The 24095-nt window shown below is 43.3% G+C and overlaps 1 protein-coding gene across 7 annotated transcripts in view; it reads right to left on the bottom strand.

Annotated features, from left to right (window-relative positions):
* Positions 20209 to 24095, bottom strand: part of STK32B (serine/threonine kinase 32B) — a 481604-nt gene continuing 477717 nt past the window's right edge. For all 7 annotated transcript variants that reach the window (XM_047415924.1, XM_047415925.1, NM_001306082.2 and 4 more), the window contains one exon: positions 20209 to 22253. In XM_047415924.1, the coding sequence (XP_047271880.1) occupies positions 22115 to 22253 (139 nt within the window). In that variant the 3' untranslated portion in view covers positions 20209 to 22114. The remainder of the gene's footprint in view (positions 22254 to 24095) is intronic.

The raw sequence follows: 24095 nt of genomic DNA, 5'->3' as shown, positions 1-24095 counted from the left end.
GTCAATTTTGGATCTTTCCTGCTTTCTCTTGTGGGCATTTAGTGCTATAAATTTCCCTCTACACACTGCTTTGAATGCGTCCCAGAGATTCTGGTATGTTGTGTCTTTCTTCTGGTTGGTTTCAAAGAACATCTTTATTTCTGCCTTCATTTTGTTATGTACCCAGTAGTCATTCAGGAGCAGGTTGTTCAGTTTCCGTGTAGTTGAGCGGTTTTGAGTGAGTTTCTTAATCCTGAGTTGTAGTTTGATTGTACTGTGGTCTGAGAGAAAGTTTGTTATAATTTCTGTTCTTTTACATTTGCTGAGGAGAGCATTACTTCCAAGTATGTGGTCAATTTTGAAATAGGTGTGGTGTGGTGCTGAAAAAAAATGTATATTCTGTTGATTTGGGGTGGAGAGTTCTGTACATATCTATTAGGTCTGCTTGGTGCAGAGCTGAGTTCAATTCCTGGGTATCCTTGTTAACTTTCTGTCTCATTGATCTGTCTAATGTTGACAGTGGGGTGTTAAAGTCTCCCATTATTATTGTGTGGGAGTCTAAGTCTCTTTGTAGTTCACTCAGGACTTGCTTTATGAATCTGGGTGCTCTTGTATTGGGTGCATATATATTTAGGATAGTTAGCTCTTCTTGTTGAATTGATCCCTTTACCATTATGTAATGGCCTGGTCTCTTTTGATCTTTGTTGGTTTAAATTCTGTTTTATCAGAGACTAGGATTGCAACCCCTACCTTTTTTTGTTTTCCATTTGCTTTATTTTGAGCCTACGTGTGTCTCTGCACATGAGATTGGTTTCCTGAATACAGCACACTGATGGGTCTTGACTCTTTATCCATTTTGCCAGTCTGTGTCTTTTAACTGGAGCATTTAGTCCATTTACATTTAAAGTTAATATTGTTATGTGTGAATTTGTTTCTGTTATTATGATGTTAGCTGGTTATTTTGCTCATTAGTTGATGCAGTTTCTTCCTAGCCTCCATGGTCTTTACAATTTGGCATGTTTTTGCAGTGGCTGGTACCGGTTGTTCCTTTCCATGTTTAGTGCTTCGTTCAGGAGCTCTTTTAGGGCAGGCCTGGTGGTGACACAATCTCTCAGCATTTGCTTGTCTGTAAAGTATTTTATTTCTCCTTCACTTATGAATCTTAGTTTGGCTGGATATGAAATTTTGGGTTGAAAATTATTTTCTTTAGGAATGTTGGATATTGGCCCCCACTCTCTTCTGGCTTGTAGAGTTTCTGCCGAGCGATCACCTGTTAGTCTGATGGGCTTCCCTTTGTGGGTAACCCGACCTTTCTCTCTGGGTGCCCTTAACATTTTTTCCTTCATTTCAACTTTGGTGAATCTAACAATTATGTGTCTTGGAGCTGCTTTTCTCGAGGAGTATCTTTGTGGTGTTCTCTGTATTTCCTGAATCTGAATGTTGGCCTGCCTTGCTAGATTGGGGAGGTTCTCCTGGATAATATCCTTCAGAGTGTTTTCCAACTTGGTTCTATTCTCCCCGTCACTTTCAGGTACACCAATCAGACATAGATTTGGTCTTCTCACATAGTCCTATATTTCCTGGAGACTTTGTCCCTTTCTTTTTATTCTTTTTTCTCTAAACTTCCCTTCTCGCTTCATTTCATTCATCTTCCATCACTGATACCCTTTCTTCCAGTTGATCGCATCAGCTCCTGAGGCTTCTGCATTCTTTATGTAGTTCTTGAGCCTTGGTTTTCAGCTCCATCAGGTCCTTTAAGGACTTCTCTGCATTGGTTATTCTAGTTATCCATTCGTCTAATTTTTTTCCAAGTTTTTAACTTCTTTGCCATTGGTTTGAATTTCCTCCTGTAGCTCGGAGTAGTTTGATCGTCTGAAGCCTTCTTCTCTCAACTCGTCCAAGTCATTCTCCATCCAGCTTTGTTCTATTGCTGGTGAGGAACTGCGTTCCTTTGGAGGAGAGGCGCTCTGCTTTTTAGAGTTTCCAGTTTTTCTGCTCTATTTTTTCCCCATCTTTGTGGTTTTATCTACTTTTGGTCTTTGATGATGGTGATGTACAGATGGGGTTTTGGTGTGGATGTAATTTCTGTTTGTTAGTTTTCCTTCTAACAGACAGGACCCTCAGCTGCAGGTCTGTTGGAGTTTGCTAGAGGTCCACTCCAGACCCTGTTTGCCTGGGTATCAGCAGGGGTGGCTGTTGTACTGTGGATTTTCGTGAACCGCAAATTCTGCTGCCTGATCATTCCTCTGGAAGTTTTGTCTCAGAGGAGTACCCGGTCGTGTGAGGTGTCAGTCTGCCCCTACTGGGGGGTGCCTCCCAGTTAGGCTGCTCGGGGGACAGGGACCCACTTGAGGAGGCAGTCTGCCCGTTTTCAGATCTCCAGCTGTGTGCTGGGAGAACCACTGCTCTCTTCAAAGCTGTCAGACAGGGACATTTAAGTCTGCAGAGGTTACTGCTGTCTTTTGTTTGTCTGTGCCCTGCCCCCAGAGGTGGAGCCTACAGAGGCAGGCAGGCCTCCTTGAGCTGTGGTGGGCTCCACCCCGTTTGAGCTTCTGGGCTGCTTTGTTTACCTAAGCAAGCCTGGGCAATGGCAGGCGCCCCTCCCCCAGGCTCGCTGCCACCTTGCAGTTTGATCTCAGACTGCTGTGCTGGCAATCAGCGAGACTCCGTGGGCATAGGACCCTCCGAGCCAGGTGTGGGATATAATCTCCTGGTGCACCATTTTTTAAGCCCGTTGGAAAAGCGCAGTATGCGGGTGGGAGTGACCCGATTTTTCAGGTGCCGTCTGTCACCCCTTTCTTTGACTAGGAAAGGGAATTCCCTGACCCCTTGCACTTCCCGAGTGAGGCAATGCCTCACCCTGCTTCGGTCGCGCATGGTGCAGTGCACCCACTGTCCTGCACCCACTGTCTGGCACTCCCTAGTGAGATGAAGCCGGTACCTCAGATGGAAATGCAGAAATCACCCGTCTTCTGCGTCGCTGATGCTGGAAGCTGTAGACTGGAGCTGTTCCTATTCGGCCATCTTGGCTCCCTCCCATATTGTCTTTATTGTCTTTGATTACTTAAGTAAACTAAGTTTTCTCAATATGAACAAAGCTAAAGTTTTTTTTTTTTTTTTTAATAATGATGTAACTTTCTGTATTTGCCTCTGAAATCTTTTGTCACTTTGGTATTATTTCACGATCTACGATCGTGTTTTAATTAATTATTTTAACTTTTTGACATTTTTGATAAACTTTCCAAAACCAAATTCTAAATAAAATCTATTTGACCTTGAGCAAACTTTAGAATTTTGCAGATGGTTATCTGGAGGATTACAAAAGAGTTGTTTTCTCTCCTTACACTAAGGAAGATAGTAAACGAATTACGCTTATTTGATATATTAAAGTATATGGAAACATAGTCAAAATGATATTTAACCTTCATGTTATATTTATATGAATGTATATCATTAATATAAGTGTTCTAAAAATTATATAAAATTCCTGGAAATGTGATATGTTCTAATACATTACCAGCAATGATTCTAGTTAGCATGTTAAAATGTTGTATGTCATAGGAATAACCAAATTCCTTGTCAGTTTAATCATCATTTTAGTGAACTCTTATCAGATCCTTAACCATGGCCATTTTGAGTCTTTCGTTATTCACAGACAGCTATTGTTTATTTTGATTCTTCCTGAAGGCATTTACAATCAGCTACTGGCTAAAGTTGCTACTGTTTCAAACAGAGTCATAGAAAAAGCCCCTGACAAGTACTCTAAAACACAGTTTTCTAGTAACTTTAAGACCGTATAGCCAGACGGGGTAAGAATTTCCAGAACTCCAATGAAGAAACCGATGGGTTCTTGGAAGTACTATCACAAAATCCAGCAGAATAAGAGTTAATTACATGGGACTAAACAAACTGATGAAGATAACTTTTTATGACTTTTGTCTAAAACACTGATGATTCTTTAACATCATGCTTTACAGATTTAACAAAAGTTTTCTTTTTTTCTCTTAACAATGTATAGCTTATAGCAAGTTAGTAAGGCATACCTTAGTAAACATAAAAGAGCCATTTATCTTTTTTTCCTACCAGATCCTTCCCAAATTTAGAAACTGTCAGTGAGTATTCTTATTTTCATGGCAATGTGGTTGCCTACATGAGTTCAGTAAGAATCTGTTCTCATTATAACAGGACATAATTGGAAACATAGGTTATATTATTAAGGCTTTGACTGGAATATCACATTTCCAGATATGACTAGATGACTTTAAGGAACTAAGGTTGACTTTATGGAGCCAATGCTTATAAAGCTTTCTTGGAAAAGCTGGCCTGGTACCTGGCTTTAAAAGGCTCTTGGCTTTATAGCTGAGTAAGGAATGTCACTTTCTGACAGGCCCCAAGCCCTCAGGATATTTTGGGAACCTCGAGAAGAGAGGAATTCACCAAATCTACAGGTATCACAGATGAAGTCTAATGCTAAGTCCTGGACTTGGCTTCCTGTCCTTTAGATGCTTTTAAATGTACAATCTGAGATTCCAGCAAAGTAGACTTTTTAAAAAGCCTAAATGATCCATCACTATTCTTGCTGCACTTATGTAAATAATCAGGCCAAGTTTAATGAGAATACATTATTTGACTAACAAATCAGCTTTATGTTGATTACCTTTGGTAAAAATGTGGTGACTCTGTTGCAGGACTTCTCCTTAGTTCAGCTAAAGACAGGGGATCTTATCACATGGCCGTGAAAATTTAAGTTTGCAGACAAATTGAAGGGTGAGCAGGGCAGGGTTTTATTGGGTGAAAAGAAAAAAAAGGGGGAAACAGGGACTCTCTGTAAGGCCAGAGTTTCTCTCGTGTACGGCCAGAGTTTCTCTTGTGTACTTCCCACCTCGCAGCTTGAATCCCAGGTCCCAAACAGGAAGAGGATGGGCCGGGCTCCTCCCCGCTGCAAAGGGCATGAACTTCTGTGGCTCCACCCCAGTGCACATTCCCAGTGCACAGGCCAGTTGGAATTTTTCCAGGGACCCCCCTCCCACCTGGGTGTCTCAATTTTAGAGAGAAAAAATTATATTTCAGAAGAAAACTATACAGTATCCATTATTAGATGGATACATTAGTCCTACTCATTGTTTTTGAGGTTTTTATTTATCTCTAATAGTGACTAGATTCTAAATTCTTCTAGTTTCCTCCAGTATCTGGCTATTAGTATCCAAACTACTATTTCCAATTTTCTCCCACTCTTCTGACTTGGAATCACTAAAAGTTAAAACTGTCCTTTTCTGGAATTCCTGTAAGCTGAAACTGGACACTTTGATACAGACTTCAGAGAAGTCACTGTAACAGCTCATACATGAACAACCATTTCAACATGCAAACAGCCAACCAGGGAAACCTGCCAGATGGTCACTGCCTGTCCCACTCCAGTTGGAGATTCTTTGAACCCAACATCTAGACATCTCAACCACTGCCCTCTTGACTCCAAAACTTAAAAGCAGAAGATGAGATGCCCATGTGAAAAATGTCCTCCCTACACTAGAGAAGAGGCAAAATTCTTATCATGAAGGACAAGATAGGTGAAGCTGAAGGAATTCTTTTTTGTTTTTTTTGTTTTTTTTTTTTTGTTTTTTTTTTTTGAGAAGGAGTCTCGCGTCTCGCTCTGTCGCCCAGGCTGGAGTGCAGTGGTGTGATCTCAGCTCACTGCAAGCTCCACCTCCTGGGTTCACACCATTCTCCTGCCTCAGCCTCCCGAGTAGCTGGGACTGCAGGCGCCCGCCACCACGCCTGGCTAATTTTTTGTATTTTATTTAGTAGAGACGGGGTTTCACCATGTTAGCCAGGATGGTCTCGATCTCCTGACCTCGTGATCCGCCTGTCTTGGCCTCCCAAAGTGCTGGGATTACAGGCGTGAGCCACCGCACTCGGCCGAGGCTGAAGGAATTCTGTACAAACAAGCTTTGTTAAACTAACCCTTGCCATCCTGGCTACTTTACCCAATTAACCACCCTAGCCCAGGACGTTTTGCTTTATCACATGTTCACAGTTTGCTATTCTTTGTTCAATCTTGTAACTGACTGCAACTGCTTCTGTGGGTCTCTGTTTCTTTATGAAGTTTCCCAGGCCATACAAAACTTGTGTTAGCCTATCTTCTGTCAGTTTAATTGTGGAACTCAGCCAGGCCCTTAAGAGGATGGAGGGGAGTTTTTCCCACAGCAGTTCTGAATGGGATGAAGTGAAAAATAAAATCTCCCCATTGCCACTACACCACCTCCAGATGAGTCTTGCAGCAGAAATACCGTTTAACTGTTTCTGCTTTTATTTTTTTCTGATTATCATCCAGTTTTATATATTCATATCTGTGTGCTTTGATAATTATATATACATACTTTTTTGATATTATTTACTTATTCTTTACATTGAAAAGGAACTTGCTCTGTAATCTACATTCCCTTTCCTCCTACATTTTTTTTAGTTTTCTTCATTTGGTTTCTAATTGAAACTAGAGGTAGACTGACTGTAAATAGAAAGTAGTTTCAGCTTCAGGACCTTTAATTTCTCAGGCTCCTTCCAATGTTCTGGACCTAATTTCGAATTTGCAGTATGTACTCATGTTCTTTAAAGAGAAACCCCAAGTTATATAGGCTCCAGCCATTCAAAATCTAGATCTGCCCCCATTAACTTTATAAAGTCAGTATAACAACACTAACAAGATATAATCATCATAATATAATGGGGATGATAATAAACTCTATTTCTTATTTCATCACTTTGAAAGCGTGCCTGTGGACTCCCATTGTGAAAAATGAGTTGGTTAGCACATTGCCAATTCTTTCTCTTTACTCCATACCCCCACTCCTGACTTCCATCAGCTACCTTACAAGCACATCCTCTTTACTGAATACAAGGAAAGCATCTGTGCTTTGTCCGTGGTTTGATTCTAAAATTTTTAAGCCATTAAAAACTTTTGCAATGTTATGTTTATATGAATATAATTTTTTACTGATATGGTTTGGCTGTGTCCCCACCGAAATCTCAGCTTGAATTGTAGCTCCCATAATCCCCACATGTTGTGGGATGAACGCGATTGGAGGCAATTAAATCATGGGGGCGGGTTTTCCCATGCCGTTCTCATGACAGTGAGTTAGTTCTCACGAGAACTGATGGTTTTATAAAGGGCAATTCCCCTGCACATGCTCCCTTGTCTGCCATAATGTAAGACATGCCTTTGCTCCTCCTTTACCTTCTGCCATGATTGTGAGGCCTCTCCAGCCATGTGGATCTGTGAGTTCATGAAACCTCTTTTTCTTTATAAATTACCTAGTCTCAGGAATTTCTTCATAGCAGTATAAAAATGGACTGATACAGTAAGTTGGTGCCAGTAGAGTGGGGGCACTGCTATTAAGATACCCAGAAATGTGGAAGTAACTTAGGAACTGGGTAACAGGCAGATGCTAGAACAGTTTGGAGGGCTCAGATGAAGACAGGAAGATGTGGGGAAGTTTGGAGCTTCCTAGTGACTTGTTGAATGGTTTTGACCAAAAAGTCCAGGCTGAGGTGGTCTCAGATGGAGATGAGAAACTTGTTGGGAACTGGAGTAGAGGTCACTCTTGCTATGCAAAGAGACTGGTGGCATTTTGCCCCTGCCCTAGAGACCTGTGGAACTTAGAATTTGAGAGAGATGATTTAGGATATCTGGAGGAAGACATTTCTAAGCAGCAAAGTATTCAGGAGGAAGCAAAGCATAAAACTTTGAAATATTTGCAGCCTGAAGATGCAGAAGAAAAGAAAAACCCATTTTCTGGGGAGAAATTCAAGCCCACTGCAGAAATTTGCATAAGTAATGTGGATCCCAATGTTAATCAGCAAGACAATGGGAAAAATGTCTCCAGGGCATGTCAGAGACCTTCATGCCTCCCATCACAGACCCAGAGGACTAGGAGGGAAAAATGGTTTCCTGGGCCAGGCCTAGGGCATTGCTGCTTTGTGCAGTCTCAGGACTTGGTGCCCTGCATCCCAGCCAAGGCTAAAAGGAGGCAACATATAGCTCAGGCCATTGCTTCAGAGGATGCAAACCCCAAGCCTTGGTGGCTTCCACATGGTGCTGAGCCTTTGCATGCACAGAAGTTAGGAATTTAGGTTTGGGAACCTCCACCTAGATTTCAGAGGATGTATGGAAACACCTGGATGTCCAGAGAGAGGTGTGCTGCAGGGGCAGGGTCCTCATGGAGAACCTCTGCTAGGGCAGTTGCAGAAGGGTAATGGTGGGTGGGAGCCCCCGCACAGTCCCCACTGGGACACTGCCTTGGGAGCTGTGAGAAGAGGGCCACTGTCCTCCAGACCCCAGAATGGTAGATTCACCAACAGCTTGCACCTTGCACCTGGAAAAGCCATAGACACTTAACGCCAGCCTGTGAAAGCAGCCAGGAGGAGAGCTGTACCCTGCAAAGCCACAGGACCAGAGCTGCCCAAGACTGTGGGAACCCACCTCTTGCATCAGTGTGACCTGGATGTGTGACATGGAGTCAAAGTAGATTATTTGGAGCTTTAAGATTTGACTGTCCCACTGGATTTTGGACTTGCATGAGGCCTGTAGGCCCTTCATTTTGGCCAATTTCTCCCGTTTGGAATGGGCGTATTTAACCAGTGCCTGTACCCCCATTGTATCTAGGAAGTAACTAACTTCCTTTTGATCATACAGGCTCATAGGCAGAAGGGACTTGACTCATCTTAGATGAGAGTTTGGACTGTGGACTTTTGAGTTAATGCTGAAACAAGTCAAGATTTTTGGGGACTGTTGGGAAGGCATGATTGGTTTTGAAATGTGAAGACATGAGATTTTGCAAGGGCCAGAAGTGGAATGATACGGTTTGACTGTGTCCCCACCCAAATCTCATCTTGAATTGTAGCTCCTATAATCCCCATGTGTTGTGGGAGGGATCTGGTGGGAGGTAATTGAATCATGGGGGTGGGCCTTTCCCATGGTGTTCTCATGATAGTGAGTAAGTCTCATGAGATCAGATGGTTTTGTAAAGGGCAGTTCTGCACATGCTTTCTTGCTTCCCACCATGTAAGATGTGCCTTTGCTCCTCATTCACCTTTCACCATGATTGTGAGACCTCCCCAGCCATATGGAGCTGTGAGTCCATTAAACCTCTTTTCTTTATAAATTGCCCAGTCTCTGGTATTTCTTCATAGCAGTATGGAAATGACTAATACATGTACTGAGCCAAGTAGTTTGGTTAGACTACTTGGAGATGAAGCCACTGGTGGGAGTAGCAGAGTAGGAAAGTGGCTTAGGCCTAGGTTTGAGATCTGGTGTTTTCCTTCACTAGCTGTGTGAAGGAAAGTCATTCCTCATCTCTGTGCCTCAGTTTCCTTTTCTATAAAATAGAAATCCTGACTTCATGTGTCTCATTGGGTTGTGAAAATTTTGTGTGTATGTGTGTGCAAAGTGCTTAGTACACTGCTTAGCATATAGTGAACACTCAATACACCTCACTGTTATTATTAATATTATTGATCTTCTGTGTCTCAATTTCCCAATCAGATTTTTCTCATAGTCCCTTTTTTATTTCAGCTTTTATTTTAGATACAGGGAGCATATTTGCTAATCTGTTACATAGGAATATTGTATGATCCTGGGGTTTGGAGCATGGATCCCTTCACTCTGGTAGTGAGCATTGTACCCAAGAGGTAGTTTTTTCTTTAATTCATCCACTCCTCCACCCTGTAGTGGTCCACAGTGTCTGTTTTCCCCATATTTATGTCCATGTGTGCTCAGTGCTTAGCTACTACATATAAGTGAGAACATGCAGTATTTGGTTTTCTGTTCTTGCATTAATTTGTTTAGGATTAGGGCCTCCAGCTCCATCCATGTTGCTACAAAGAACATGATTTCATTCTTTTTTATGTCTGCATGGTGTGGTATTCCACGGTGTATATGTAGCACCTTTTCTTTTTTCTTTCTTTTTTTTAGAGACAGAATTTTTCTCTGTCTCCTAGTTTGGAGTGCAGTGACACAGTCTTGGCTCACTGCAACATCCACCTCCCAGATTCAAGCCATTCTCGCGCCCCAGCGTCCGGCGTAGCTGGGATTACAGGTGTGAGCCACCATGCCCAGCTAATTTTTGTATTTTTAGTAGATATGAGGTTTCTTCATGTTGGCCAGGCTGGTCTCAAACTCCTGACCTCAAGTGATCCACCTGCCTCATCCTCCCGAAGTGCTGAGATTACAGGCACAAGCCACCGTGCCCAGCCTATACCACATTTTCTTTATCCAGTCTACCATTGATGAGCATCTGGGTTGATTCCATGTCCTTGCTATTGTGAATAGCACAACAGTGAATATATGAGTGCAAGTATCTTTTTGGTAGAATGATTTGTTTTCTTTTGGGTATACACCCAGTAATGGGATTGCTGGGTTGAATGTAGCTCTGTTTTCAGTTTGTTTGTCTGTTGCTTGTTTGTTTTGAGAAATCTCCAGACTGCTTCCCACAGTGGATGTACTAATTTACATTCCCACCAACAGTGAATAAGCATTCCCTTTCTGCTGCAGCCTCACCAGCAACTGTTGTTGCCTGGCCTTTTAATACTAGCCATTCTGACTGGTGTGAGATGGTATCTCATTGAGGTTTTGATTTGCATTTCTCTGATGATTCGTGATGCTGAGCATTTTTTCATATGTTTTCTGGCTGTATGTCGTCTTTTAAGAAGTGTCCCTTCATGTTCTTTGCCCATTTTGGGGGGGGGGGGCTTTATATTTTTTGCTTATTGATTTAATTTCCCTATGAACTCTGAATATCAGGCTTTTGTTGGATGTATAGTCTGTGAATATTTTCTCCCATTCTGTAGGTTGTCTGTTTGCTATTTTAATAGTTTCTCTTACTGTGCAGAAGCTCTTTAGTTTAATTAGGTGCCACTTGTCTATTTTTGTTTTCACTGCAATTGCTTTTGGGGACTTAGCCAAAACTTATTTGCCAAGACCGGTGTCGAGAAGATATTTTCTAGGTTATCTTCCAGGATTTTTACAGTTTGAGGTTTTACATTTAAATCTTTAATGTCTTTTGAGTTAATTTTTTTATATAGTAAAAGGTAGGGGGTTTTAATCTTCTGCATATGGGTTGACAGTTATCCCAGCACCATTTATTGAATAGGGAGTCCTTTTGTCATTGCTTCTTTTTGTCAGCATTCTTGAAGATGAGATGGTTGTACTTGTGCAGTTTTATTTCTGAGTTTGCCATTTTGCTCCATTGGCCTATGTGTCTGTTTTTGTACCAGTACCAAGCTGTTTTGGTTACTGTGGCTTTATAGTATAGTTTGAGGTCAAATAGTGTAATGCCTCCAGCTTTGTTCTTTTTGCTTAGGATTGCTTTTGGCTCTTCGGGCTCTTTTTTGGTTCCATATAAATTTTAGAATAGTTTTTTTCCTAATTCTGTGAATAATGATGTTGGTAGTTTGATAGGAATAGCATTGAATCTATACATTGCTTTTGGCAGTATGGCCATATTTATACTGAGTCTTCCAACTCATGCACATGGAATGTTTTTCCATTTATTTGTGTGGTCTCTGATTTCTTTCAGAAGTGTTTTGTAGTTCTCCTTGAAGAGATCTTTTACCTCCTTTGTTAGCTGTATTTCTAGGTATTTCATTTTCTTTGTGGGTATTATAAGTGAGGCCATGTTCTTGATTTGGCACTCAGCCTGGACATTGTTGCTGTATAGAAATGCTACTGATTTTTTACATTGATTTTGTATGCTGAAACTTTACTAAATTGACTTATCAATTCTAGGAGCTTTCTGGCAGAGTCTTCAGGATTTTCTAGGTATAGAATCATGTCATCAGCAAAGGGAGATAACTTTGCTATTTGGATGCCTTTTGTTTCTTTCTCTTGCCTGATTGCTGTGGCTAGGACTTCCAGTACTGTGCTGAACAGGAGTAGTGAGAGTGGGCATCCTTGTCTTGTTCCATTTCTCAAAGGGAATTGTTTGAGCTTTTGCCCTTTCGGTATGATGTTGGCTGTGGCTTTGTCATAGATGGCCCCTTATTATTTTGAGGTATATTCCTTCAATCCCCAGGATATTGAGAGTTTGTGTCATGAAGGGATGTTGGATTTTATCAGAAGCTTTTTCTCTGTTTACTGAGATGATTGAAGTTCTGTGGGATTTCTCCTACTTATTCCTTCAGCTCTTTTATTGAATTTTCTATCTTGACAATAATTGAAAAAACTTTTACTGATGCATAATAGATGTATACAGTCTTTGGGTACAAGTGATAATTTAATACATCCATATAATTTGTGTGGTCTCTGTTTTCTCCATATACTCAGGATAGCCATCACCTTTCAAAAATTCCTTCATATTCTTTCATTCTTTTTCAGAGTAGTTTGTTCTGTTGTTTTATAGCTGCAATGTCTTCTCATATCTTTTTGAGGAGATGAATTCAATCTGTTAAAGTTCTCTTCTCTTCCCCATATCTACTATGTCCTTTGTGGAGAGCTTCTCTGTGTGTATCTTGCCTGCTCCCTTTCTTTTGTGCTACTGATTCCCCCCAGTGCCTGGGTGATCCTGGCCTGTGCTTTCAATTGATCAATAAAGGACCAAGCTGATGAACGTAGGTGGCCCCATGGGTTCTGCCATGCTTGTGTGGCTGTGTATGGTCTCTCAGCTTCCCCAACAAGGGGAAGGTTGACTGAGTTTTCCACCTGGGGATGGGGCTCTCAGCCAGCAGGCTTGATGTCAGTCTGTACAGACCAGGACAGACAGAAGGGGTGATGCTTCTCCTTGCACATGTGAGCTCCACCAATACCTACAATTAGAAAGTTTGCCCTTCTCAGGAGTATCTTTCTGTTTCTTTAGAAAGCAGAATTCCAAGGTCAGTCTTAGAAAAAAATGATGCTACTGCTTGGGTGAGGGTAGAGGGAAAGGTGTCAGGGGGGCTGATGCCAGGCAGCTCTGCAGACATTTTTCAAAAACTTTTTATTTTAAAATAATTTCAGTTTTATCAAACAGCTCCAGAGATTGCACAAAGGAGTTCTTATATACCCTTCACTCACCTCCCCCTAATTCCAGCATCTTACATAACCATGGCACATTTGTCAAAACTAAGAAATTATCATTGAGACATTCCTGTGAACTAAATTATAGACTCATATGGATTTCACCAGTTTTTCTACTAATGCACTTTCTCTGTGGCATGATCCAATGCAGGGCACCTCATCACATTTAACTGTCAGGTATCCTTCGTTTCTTGTCATCTGTGTAATTTCTTGTTTTGTTGTCTTATCTCTCATGATTTTGATACTTTTGGTGAGTGATGGTCAGGTATTTTGTAAAATGTTCTTCAATTGAGGTTTATCTGATGTGTTTTCATTAACAGGCTGAAGTTGTGGATGTTTTGGAAATGTATGACAGAACGGAAGTGCCCTTCCCATCATATCTTTTCAGGGGATAGATGATATCAACGTGACTTTTTCTGTCAGTGATATCTTTGATCACTTGGTTAGGTGGGGTCTGCTGCGTTTCTCCACTGTAACATTACTTGCTTTCCTTTTCCATGCTCTGTTTGTTAGAAGTGAGTCTCTGAGTCCAGCCCATAGGGTTCCAGGATGACTACCATGCTTTTCCCTGTACACATCCCCCTGGCAACTCCTGATTGGTAGATGGATTGTTTCCTCAACCAAGTTGGGTAATGAGTGCATTTTCTGAGACTTTGGACATGGAAGACACAGTAGACAGTCTTTCTCTCTCTCTAGGTAACTAATTTTTAGGATTAGAGACCCACTGCGGGCACTTTTTCAATTCATCATGCACAGAAAGCTACTCTGTGGTATGAGAGAATGGGTCTGAGTTTCCTCCTTTGTTAAAAGGGGATAACAATATTGACCTTGCAGAAATCTGAGGATCAAATGAGATGATCCAGGCCGAGCACGTGGCCCAGGGCCCAGCATGTTGTTGGTTCTCAATAAATACCAGTTTCCCTTTGTCCAAGCTCTTCATGTGTCCTCCACCTCTGATGTGCTGAAGCCTGGCAAGTTATAGTCACCATAGAGCATAAACGACTATGAGCTAATTGTGTTCACAGAAGGGGATTTTATGGGATGAAACAATAAGAAAACACAAAGTTATAATTTCTGTGCCTTTTGTCTCTCTTTGGTAAATCAAAATTAGAAAGGTCTATGTGGGGACCATTGCTAACAGAACTGTAATGATTTCTGTCAAATCCAATGAAGTCTCAGTTTCCCCCTGTTAAGAGCTATGTGTTTAGCCAACATGTCTTCTCCTCTTTCCTTACAGAACTTCAGTGTTGGCCATGTGCATCTCCATTTCCACATCACACAGGGGAAGGGGAGCCCATCTCCTGGTTAAGAGAGTGGATTATAATTGGCATAAACCAAGCATAGCAATCCCAATCCCCATGCCTATGATTGGTTCAGGATGGGCATGTGACCCAAATTTGACCAGTGAGTTACGAGGGAAAGTCTGGGGCACTCTGGGACAAACTTCTCTTCTTTGAGAGAAATCCATAGGAGGGCAGAGCCCCTTCTATGTCCCCTGAGTGCTCTTGTGTCTGGATAGTATGTGCATATCTGTGGCACCACCTAAAACCACGGGTGCTGCCAGCTTGAAGACAATGCCAGCACATTAAGGACATCACCGCAGTGAGATGGACCAACCTGGGCTCCCATGATGTTGATCTAAACCCCATTCTGTGCCATGGATTTTCCCTCCCCTGGACTCATTGTTTTGTTGTTGTTGTTTGTTTGTTTGTTTAGAGATCAGGTCTTGCTCTGTTGCCAAGCCTGGAGTGCAGTGGCGTGATCATAGCTCACTGCAGCCTCAATCTCCTATGCTCAAGTGATCTTCCTGCCTCGGCCTCCCAAGCAACTGAAACTACAGATGCATGCTGCTGTGTCCGGCTAATTTTTAAATTTTTTATGTAGAGATGGGGTCTTAATTTTTTGCCCAGGGTGGTCTCGAACTCCTGGCCTCAAGGGATCCTCTTGCCTAGGCCTCCCAACATGCTGAGGTTACAAGGGTTGAGCCACTGTGCCTGGCTGGACTCTTTATTAAGTGGGATAACACTTATCCTCCTGTAAGGCAGTCGGACTTGGGTTTTCCATTGCTTGTAGCACAAAGCAAATAGATACAGTACACCTTTAGAAAAATCCTCTTGCCAACAAGCAATCTTTTCAGAAGACCACAGCAGAGACTCTTACTAGGATCTCCTTTCAACAAGGCTGATGTTTTTATCTGAGAGGTAAAGTGTGGGAATCAGGGGCTGAAGGGGAAGAAGAGGCAGGGTATGGGTGTTGGGCAGAGGGAAAGCCAACTCCCTAAGAAGAGAAGCAGATGGGAGAAAAGAGCTCAACCCAAAGCTTCTAAAGCTTTTATTGCTCTTGCAAGAGAGATGAAGGAGAGGAGAGGATACGTCTCACAGAGTATATATTGCATGTCAGGCAATAGGAGCTCTAAATACATGATTTTATTTAATCTGCATGCTGGTTTTCTAACATATTATTACTGGGACTCAGAAATCTCAAATTACTGGTCCAAGGTAACACAGTCAGGTCAGTCTGACTCTAAAGTCCTGCTTCTTTTCTTTATCACCCGAATCCAACCTTCAGGTTCTCTAGAAATGTCTCAAATCCATCTATTTGAGAGCCACTATGATGTAGTGGTAGGTCACTGTGATGTGCTCTATATCACTGATCCATCTACATCTTCAGGGTTCCCCGCCGAGCCACCCCACCATGGCATCTCTCCTGGATTGCTGTATCATCCATCCAACTGGTATCCTCCCAGTTTCTACACTTGTCACTACCCCTACCCCTTTGTCTTTTGTCTACACAGTAGCCACTCCCCTCCCTAAACAGTTCAAAGGCATCTCATCACACAAATCCAAACTCTTCCCCAGGGTTCCCTAGGATTTCCATAATCTGGTCATGCTTGGCTGAGCGGCTGTCTCTGTACCACTTTTCACTCAATTCACTAAGTTCCAGCACCTTGGCCTCCTTACTGTTCTTGGAAGAACTGAGGGTAACTCTGAACTCAGGGCCCTTTGTCTGTTGGTCTTCTTTGCTTGGAATGCATCCTCCATCATCTCTTTTCCAACGTGCCGGTCTTGACAAAGGAGGTGTTCATTGAGCACACCAAGGTAGCTCCCCTGTCTGGGTTGCCCTGTTATTGTGTGGGCAGGTGGGCCAGTGTCAAGACCTTAGTAACATCCAGAGCCCTCCAAGATGGAGGCTTGGAGGGCTCTGGGCCTAATACTTCAGAGGTATAGACATAAAATATCATATAGAAGAGCATATCCGCCAATATATTCTTGTCATGACCACAAAGAGTGAGTGGGGAAATTCTATGGAAGAAGATGTCTAGAAGGCAAGTGAATACATTCTGGGTTTATTTGATTTTGGTTTCTGTGAGAGAGTAGGACTCTGACAGCTTAGTAATACAAAGAAAAAGGGAATCTCTGCACATTTTCCTCTGCCAGGCATGTCTGCACCCTTACTCATTTCTCCCACAATGAAAGAGAAATGTCCCTTCTGACAGGTCTGAACCTGAGCCATTGATGGGGCCAGTATTACTAATGGATTGGGCTGCTGTGCTTGGCACCCTTGAGTCTGCTGGTGCCAAGGTAAAATTTTGGGAAGATTCCAGGGTCTTGCTAAGGTTTTGATACTGTGCTTCTTGCTTTGACTTGACCTTCTAGCAGGGTTATATGTTGGGGCTTTAATATTGATATAGTCTTTTTGATTCCTATTTTGTGGTTTCCTTAACTCTCTTGGGAACATGGTGTGGTGGTGGGGAACAGAAGAGAGCTTTGAGAAAGATGGAGAAAGCTGATTGATCAGGCAGGACTCAGATTTCTCTTGGTCTTAGCCAAAACTCTGTTAGAGAACTTCCCAACCACACTCTTAATTGTCAAGAATTGATTACAAATATGATGTGTGTCTTAGTCTGTTTAGGCTGCTATAACAAAATATCATAAACTGAGTAGTTTACAAACAGCAGAAATTTGCTTCTCACAGTACTGGGGACTGGGAAGTCCAGGATTATGGCTGATTTGGTGTCTTGGCAGGATCCACTTTTTGGTACCTTTTCCCTGCGTCCTCACATGGTAGAAGGAGCCAGAAAGCGCTCTGACACCTCTTAGGGCACTATTCTGTTTATGAGGGCTCCACCCTCATAGCCCAATCACCTCCCGAAGACCCTACTTCTCAATATCATCACCCTGGAGGTTGACATGTCAACATATGAATTTAGAAGGACACAAACATTCAGACTAAAGCAATGTGTGAAATTAATTTCTATTTAGAAAATGCTATTAAGCACAGAAGGTGGTTGCACAAATCGATTTTTAGAGTTAGGATGATGCAAGGATGGCAGCTATGCTGCCTGAGAAAGGCTCATGTGTGACTTGCCACTCTCCCTGCTGGGTGGAAAGAATTAGAAAACATGTGCTGAGAGAGGCAGGGGATATGAAATGCAGAGACACCGAGAGGGAAATGCATTAATCATGTTTGTCTGTGATCACCCAGGAAGAAACAGATATCTGTTCTTTGTGGCAGTCGCTAATTAAACATGGAAGAGACTGTGCTGTGATTTCATGTTTGAGATTGGGAGAGGAAAGGGGACAGATAGCAAATGATGCCACAGGAGAGGCACAGTGCATGGGCTGAATCATCAAAGTGACAGCTGTTTGCTAAACGTGGCTCAAGTTGGGGGCTGGGGTGAGCATGTCTGTGCAACTTCTATATCGACTGAGGACCCGCCTTGAGGCTGCTCTGTGCTGGGGGCCGCCTGTGCATAGCTCACCCTGTGGAGCCCACAGCCTGCCAGGGGGAGAAGTGGGACACAAAACCATCAGCTGGGCAGTGTGACAAGTGCTGTGGAAACCAAACTACAAGAAGCAGAGATTGTGTAGAGGACTTCTGGGAGGGCCTGGTTACATGGGAGGAGGGTCACAAGAAGAGGGTGACTGATATGATTTGGATTTATGTCCCACCCAAATCTTATTTATTTATTTATTTATTTGAGATGAAATCTCACTCTGTCACCCAGGCTGGAGTGCAGTGGCGTGATCTCGGCTCACTGCCATGTCCATCCCCTGAGTTCAAGCAATTCTCCTGCCTCAGCCTCCTGCGTAGCTGGGATTACAGGCATGCGCCACCACTCTCGGCTAATTTTTTTGTATTTTTGGTACAGATGAGGTTTTACCATGTTGGCTAGGCTGGTCTCGAACTCCTGACCTCAGGTGATCTGCCCACCTTGGCCTCCCAAATTGCTGGGATTATAGGCGTAAGCCACGGGACCGGGCCCCAAATCTCATTTGAAATTGTAATTCCCAATATTGGGGGAGGAGCCTGGCAAGAGGTGATTGGATCATGGGGGTGGTTCTCCTGATAGTGAGTTCTCTCACAAGATCTGGTTGTTTAAAAGTATGTAGCACCTCCCCCTTTACTCTTTCTTCCTTTTTCTCCAGCCATGTAAGACATGCCTGCTTCCCCTTTGCCTTCTGCCATGATTCTAAGTTTTCTGAGGCCTCCCCAGCCAGGCTTCCTGTACAGCCTATGGAACTGTGAGTCAATTAAATCTCTTTTTTTTTATAAATTACCCAGCCTTAGATAGTTCCTTATAGCAATGTGAGAACGGACTAATACAGAGACTCAATAATACTGACCTGGGAAATGTTATTGGTTAAAGCTCCAGTGTGGAAAAAGCTCAAGGGTCAACTGGTGAGGGCAAATCAACCATACATTCCCCTGCAAATTCTTCCCCCTGGGAACCCACAGGGCTGAACTGCCAAGCTCTGGGACCCCCTGGCTTTTGCAGGTGAGCAAAGCAAATGTGCATCTGCCATCTATGCACTTAGTGTCCCAGATGTGTCTTCTAGATCAGGGCTCTGCAACTTGTTCTCTAAAGGGCCAGGTGGTAAATATTTTCAGCATTGTGGGCCACAGGGTCTCTGTTGCAGCTGCTCAGCACTGCAGTTGTAGCAAGAGAACAACCATAGACTATACAGAAATCAACAGGCATGGCTGGTTTGGCCACAGGCAGAAGTTCTAGATCCTTGCTACTCACAGCGTGGACCCTGACTTGGTATTGTCAGCATGTCCTGGTGCACCCACTGGTCTACAGCTGGCCCTGATGCACCTGAATTTCCACTCATAAGGTAAACCCTAACACAAATTCTTGCATGGGAATGGATTTCTTTAATCAGATTGCTTTCTTGCCAGTACTGGGAGTCGGGGTTCGGATGAGGGAAGGGTGAAACTCATTTGGAACTTGGAGATCACGGAAAGGTGGTTCTGAAGGGGGTGAATGGGGACTGGGCACGCCACTGGAGGGTAACCCCTGAGAAAACACTGGGACCTGCAGAGGAAAAAGCTCTGGGAAGTGACCGTGGAGCCAAGTGGAAGACAGGAGGGTGCCAAAAGTAAGTCGCCCCTAGACAGAGAGTTTGTTGATTGCTCCTTAGGAGCCAGGCACTGTCAGGACAGGAGGATGGGATGAGGAGATGGACATGAATCTGACCCGGCTTCTTTGAGGGAGCCTAAAGGTAAGGAGGGTGAGGCATGGGTGAGAGTAACGCGATGGTGCAGTTGTCAGCAAGCAGAGCCGTGAGTGACAGCAAGTGTGCCCGAGAGTTCCTGGAGGAGGTGGCGTCTAGCTTGGGTGGGTGGTGCCATAAGCCCCAGAAGACATCATGGGAGAAATGGAATTGGCCTTTGAGAAAGGGGAATTTTAACATGTGTCGACGAGAGCTGAAAGGCATCCCCAGTAGAGAGGACAGGACAAATGAAAGCAGGAAAGTGGAAAATCAAGAAGTCTGTATGGAAAGGAAAATACTGGTTCATTTGCACCTGTGTGTGTGCTGTATAAAGGTTTGAGTGGTAATTTGAGGGAATGTTAAAGAGTGTCTTTCTCTGGATGAAGAATTTTCTGTACTTTTTCCTTAGTGAATAGATGGTACCTTAGGAAATACAAAATAGTAACAATAATCATGTAGATTGTGATCAAGTTAGATAGAGCCTTGAATTGCCAAGCTAAGTTTGATTTCATCTGTGGCTTGGTGTCCATACCACCAATCAAAGTGATTCCATCATTGGCTTGGTGTCCACACCACCAACCATGCCCATTTTTGTGTTTCTAATTAAACTTGAGTCTCTTCACGCTAAGAGGAACGTGGCCCATCCCACCCAACCCTGAATTAAGAACAAAGTGGTGAGAAGGAATGTCCAAGAAATAGTTTATTCCAAACAAGAAATGCCAACTTGAACAGAACCAGGAAATCTGGTGTTCCTAGGGCGACTTCCAGCTCCTGCCCCTAATTCGTGAACTCAGCCCAATAAAAAAAACCATCATCATCTTAAGAGCCTCCAGGGTCACAGTAGGGAGAGGAGCAGGCCCCTTATTTCCTGGGGGAGGTGGGGAGCAGGACGGTTGTTGATGGGGACATGAAGTAAAGAAAAGTGTGCAAAACAAGTCAACTGACGAGGAGCACACAATCCAGAAATAGTCTCGGTTGAAAGGAGGAAAACACTGACTATTTCTTTTTTAAAAAATAAAAATATAAAACCTAACCATACATTAAAATGTCTTTTAAGAAATCTAAGAGATGACATGGACAGCCCCAAGGATTGAGTAATCATGTAAAAAGTGAAAAATGGAAGTTGGATGAAAAAATAAAAACACAGTCGAACTTCAGCAGGATGTAACAAACAAATATCAAAGACCCCAGGAAGAACATTTGGAAGAATCCTAAACAGGTTTGTTTGCACAGAAAACTGACCTGCTGGGTGAGTGAAGGAAGAAAGTATCTAAATAATGATGACGATTATGCTGACAAAAAAGGCCATTCTATGAGTCATCCAATGCTTGGGGTTACACACAGGATCTTATTTAACCCTGTAACTCCCCTGCAATATTAGTTTTATTATCCCTGTTTAAAAATGAGGAAACTGCCATTCAGAGCGATTGCATGCTTTGCCTAAGGTCTCCCAGTTAGTTAGTAGCCAGCAGGGCTGGATTCTGAACACAAACCTGACTCCAAAGTCTAAGCTTTCCCTGCTCATCCCAACATCTTCCAGTTCAAAGGCAAGCTTCTCCCTGAGCAGACCAGAATGTAGTTTGCTTTTTGTGTGAACCCATTTTCCTCCTGAAATAAACTTTCTAAGCACCCATGCTTCCTATTGTATAAATAGGGAGCCGCTCCACCAATACCGATTGGATACTCTCTGTAAGAAGAATCTGACAAGCTGATTTTACACCCTTCCCAGGAGAGAAAACCCTGAAAGCTGATAGAGAGTTGGAGAGTTCTGCTGCAGGTCTGGGCTTTCGGGCCAGTTGGATGGGGTGCTGATTACACTCTGCAGGAGTAACCAATGCTCAGCGACCCAACTCTCATCTGAATGGACACCTGTGTGCCATCCCAGCACTGGGGATATGGTGGTGGTGAGGACTGCTGAAACTAAAAGGTAAGGATAGTCTTCTTAAATGAGGGGAGGAGTGAGACCGCAGCGCTGAGACCTTGGGGACAAGTCTGGTCTGCATGCTGCACCATCTTACAAGCTCAGGACTGTGGCCTGCCAGAGAATGCACATGAAGACACTTCAGGTTTTGCTCCAGGATTTGGCAGCGTTGTTTCCATAGAAGGGGCCAACATATCAGACCTTTATTTTGCTGTCAGGGCTGTGTTTTTCGGAAGTGCCCTCTAACAAGCTAGGATGTGCCAAATTGCAAAGTCATGACGGTTTGATTGCTTTGGGGAATGGGGGTCACTTCAAATATTAAGGTTATATTTTGCACGTAAAAATGATTTTATAAATATCAAAGGTTTTTCATGTTTCCTACCTAATTGGGTTCTCCCCATAATCTTGTAATTTGAAGTGGGGCAGAAGTGTTTAACCCCTTTGGCAGATGCAGAAAACGGAGGCACAGAGAGGGCGTGACTTGTCTGAGGTCACACGTGAATCAGTCATGGAGATGGGACCAGAACCCAGGCTTCCCAGCTCCAAGTCCAGGGCTTTTTCTGCATCTGATGTTTTCAGGGGTGAGACAGGGACCATCAGGGCACAAAGAGGGGCTCTGGGTGGGCAGGGCAGAGACGAGTGCAGTCCTGTTGAGCAGCAACAAGTGTGGGCTCAGCTGCTGCAGCCACGGGTGCAGGTGTGGGTGAGGAGGTTGTTGTTGCACCCGTCCTGGAGCTTGCTTTGGGCCTGGCCTCCCCCTCGGCTGTCGGTGTCCAAGAGCTGGCTGCCCTGTCCCTGCTGCCTCCTGAGCCTGCAAACAAGCACAGATCTGAGTTAGTGGTGCGGCATGGGGTTGTGGAGGCACATCCAGGAGACACACTGGGCAGGCAGGGCAACTGTGGAGCCTTCAGCTCAAACCTTCCCCTACCTGGGAAGATTGATCATTAAGGCATCCACGGTGCTGTGCACTGTAGCCAGATGGGCCTCGGATCAAAGCGCAGCTCAGGTGCACTTGGGTGAGTTACTTAATGCATAGTAATTTCTCTGTCTACAGAATGGAGATAATAATTCCCATCTTGTATTTCCTTGTGATGTTTACTTGAGATCACATATTTATATTTTTGTATATACCATATATTTATATTTCCCAAGCTCACAGTCGGTAAAGGTGGTGAGTCCCAGGTATCATTCATTCAGTATACATGTATTAAATGCTCACGAGTGTACCAGCCACCATGCCTAGGAGCAGGGGATCCTCTGGCAAGCCAAACAGTCATATTCTTTGTCCTCAAGGAGCTCAATGACAAAAGGGGAGACAGGCACTAATCAAAGAATCCCACCAGTAAATATCCAAACAGTTGTTAAACACAGACTTACAAAATATCCTATTACAAACTATGTTGAGGGGGTATGATTCCGAACATTGCATTTCCTAGCAGTGGGCCACTTGGTCACCTTTCACATGTTGGAAGATGTCAATATCCCTCTGTTTCTGATCTTCAAGTTAAAGTTCATTCGCTATACCACAGCTGTCATTGCATGTGGATGGTGGCAGCAAGAACGGAATGGAGACGTTTAAGGAGGCAGTGAGAATTTTTAGAGCAGGGAAGAACTCAACTCACATCCTGGCTCTCAACACTGTCTACTTGAGTTATGTTAGTCAAGTCACTTTATCTTTTTAGCCTCAGCTTTCTTATGTAAAACTAGGGATTCTATTGTTCACTTTGCAGGAGGCTAAGGGGATCATAGAGAATACATGTAAAATATCTAGTATAGGGCTGGGAATAATAATAATTACTATTAGTTCTACCTTGTTCTGAAAAAGAGGTTTTAGCCTGAATTTTAAAACTAGTATGTTTCTTTCCAACAGAGTGCAGAGCAGGTTGTCAACACCTGTTGTCTTGATTTAAATGAAAGAGCTGTTTCACCCAGCAAGCCTCTGTGTATGCTGCTTATATGCAGGGTCCTGAGGGTTATCCTAAGATGACTACAACAGTCTATGCCCTTAGACAGGTCACAGTTGTGTGTATGAGTGTGTGTGTGTGCGCACAGTGGGAATGCCTAGTGTTTGCAACAATGCTGGTACTTGAGTAAGTCCTTCAGATAACACTGAAATACCAGCAGCAACACTGTGTTTCATAAGACAGCGAATTGGTCATTCCTTCCCCCAACCCTTCATGCAAAGGCCCAGGACCAAGGTGGGCAGTTCCTCTGCCCCCAAGGCTTGCAGCTCTCCAGGTAGGGCAACTGGGAAAGGTGGTCATGGTTAAAATGCATCATCCTAGTGGACTGGGCAGGAACCAGAGGACAGAGCTGGGAGGCTCCCTTCGGGTTGAGGCCTTGGTGATGGGATATTTCCTCTTACCCTCAGTTGAAGAGGTGGCTTATCATCCTTCTTAGTAAATATATAGTTTATTTTCTGTCTGTGTTTGCATTTATTTGGACTTTTTGCATTCAGCACTTGTGTTTAATTGGCTTTTGTGTATTTGACATTAGACCAGAACATTCACAGAATGGGGCTCTCAAAGTTCAAAGGCATGCCAACATATTTTCTGGGATTCCAGCTGCTAACATGTTCAAATACTGCAGGGATTATTTAAAGAGTCTGCGTTCTTAAAACTGCATTAAAATACCATGACTATAAAATCGTGGA

This window comes from Homo sapiens, chromosome 4, assembly GCF_000001405.40.
Source record: "Homo sapiens chromosome 4, GRCh38.p14 Primary Assembly".
Lineage (NCBI taxonomy): Eukaryota > Metazoa > Chordata > Mammalia > Primates > Hominidae > Homo > Homo sapiens.
Note: the sequence above shows the minus strand (reverse complement) of the source record. Positions and strands in the feature narration are given on the sequence as shown.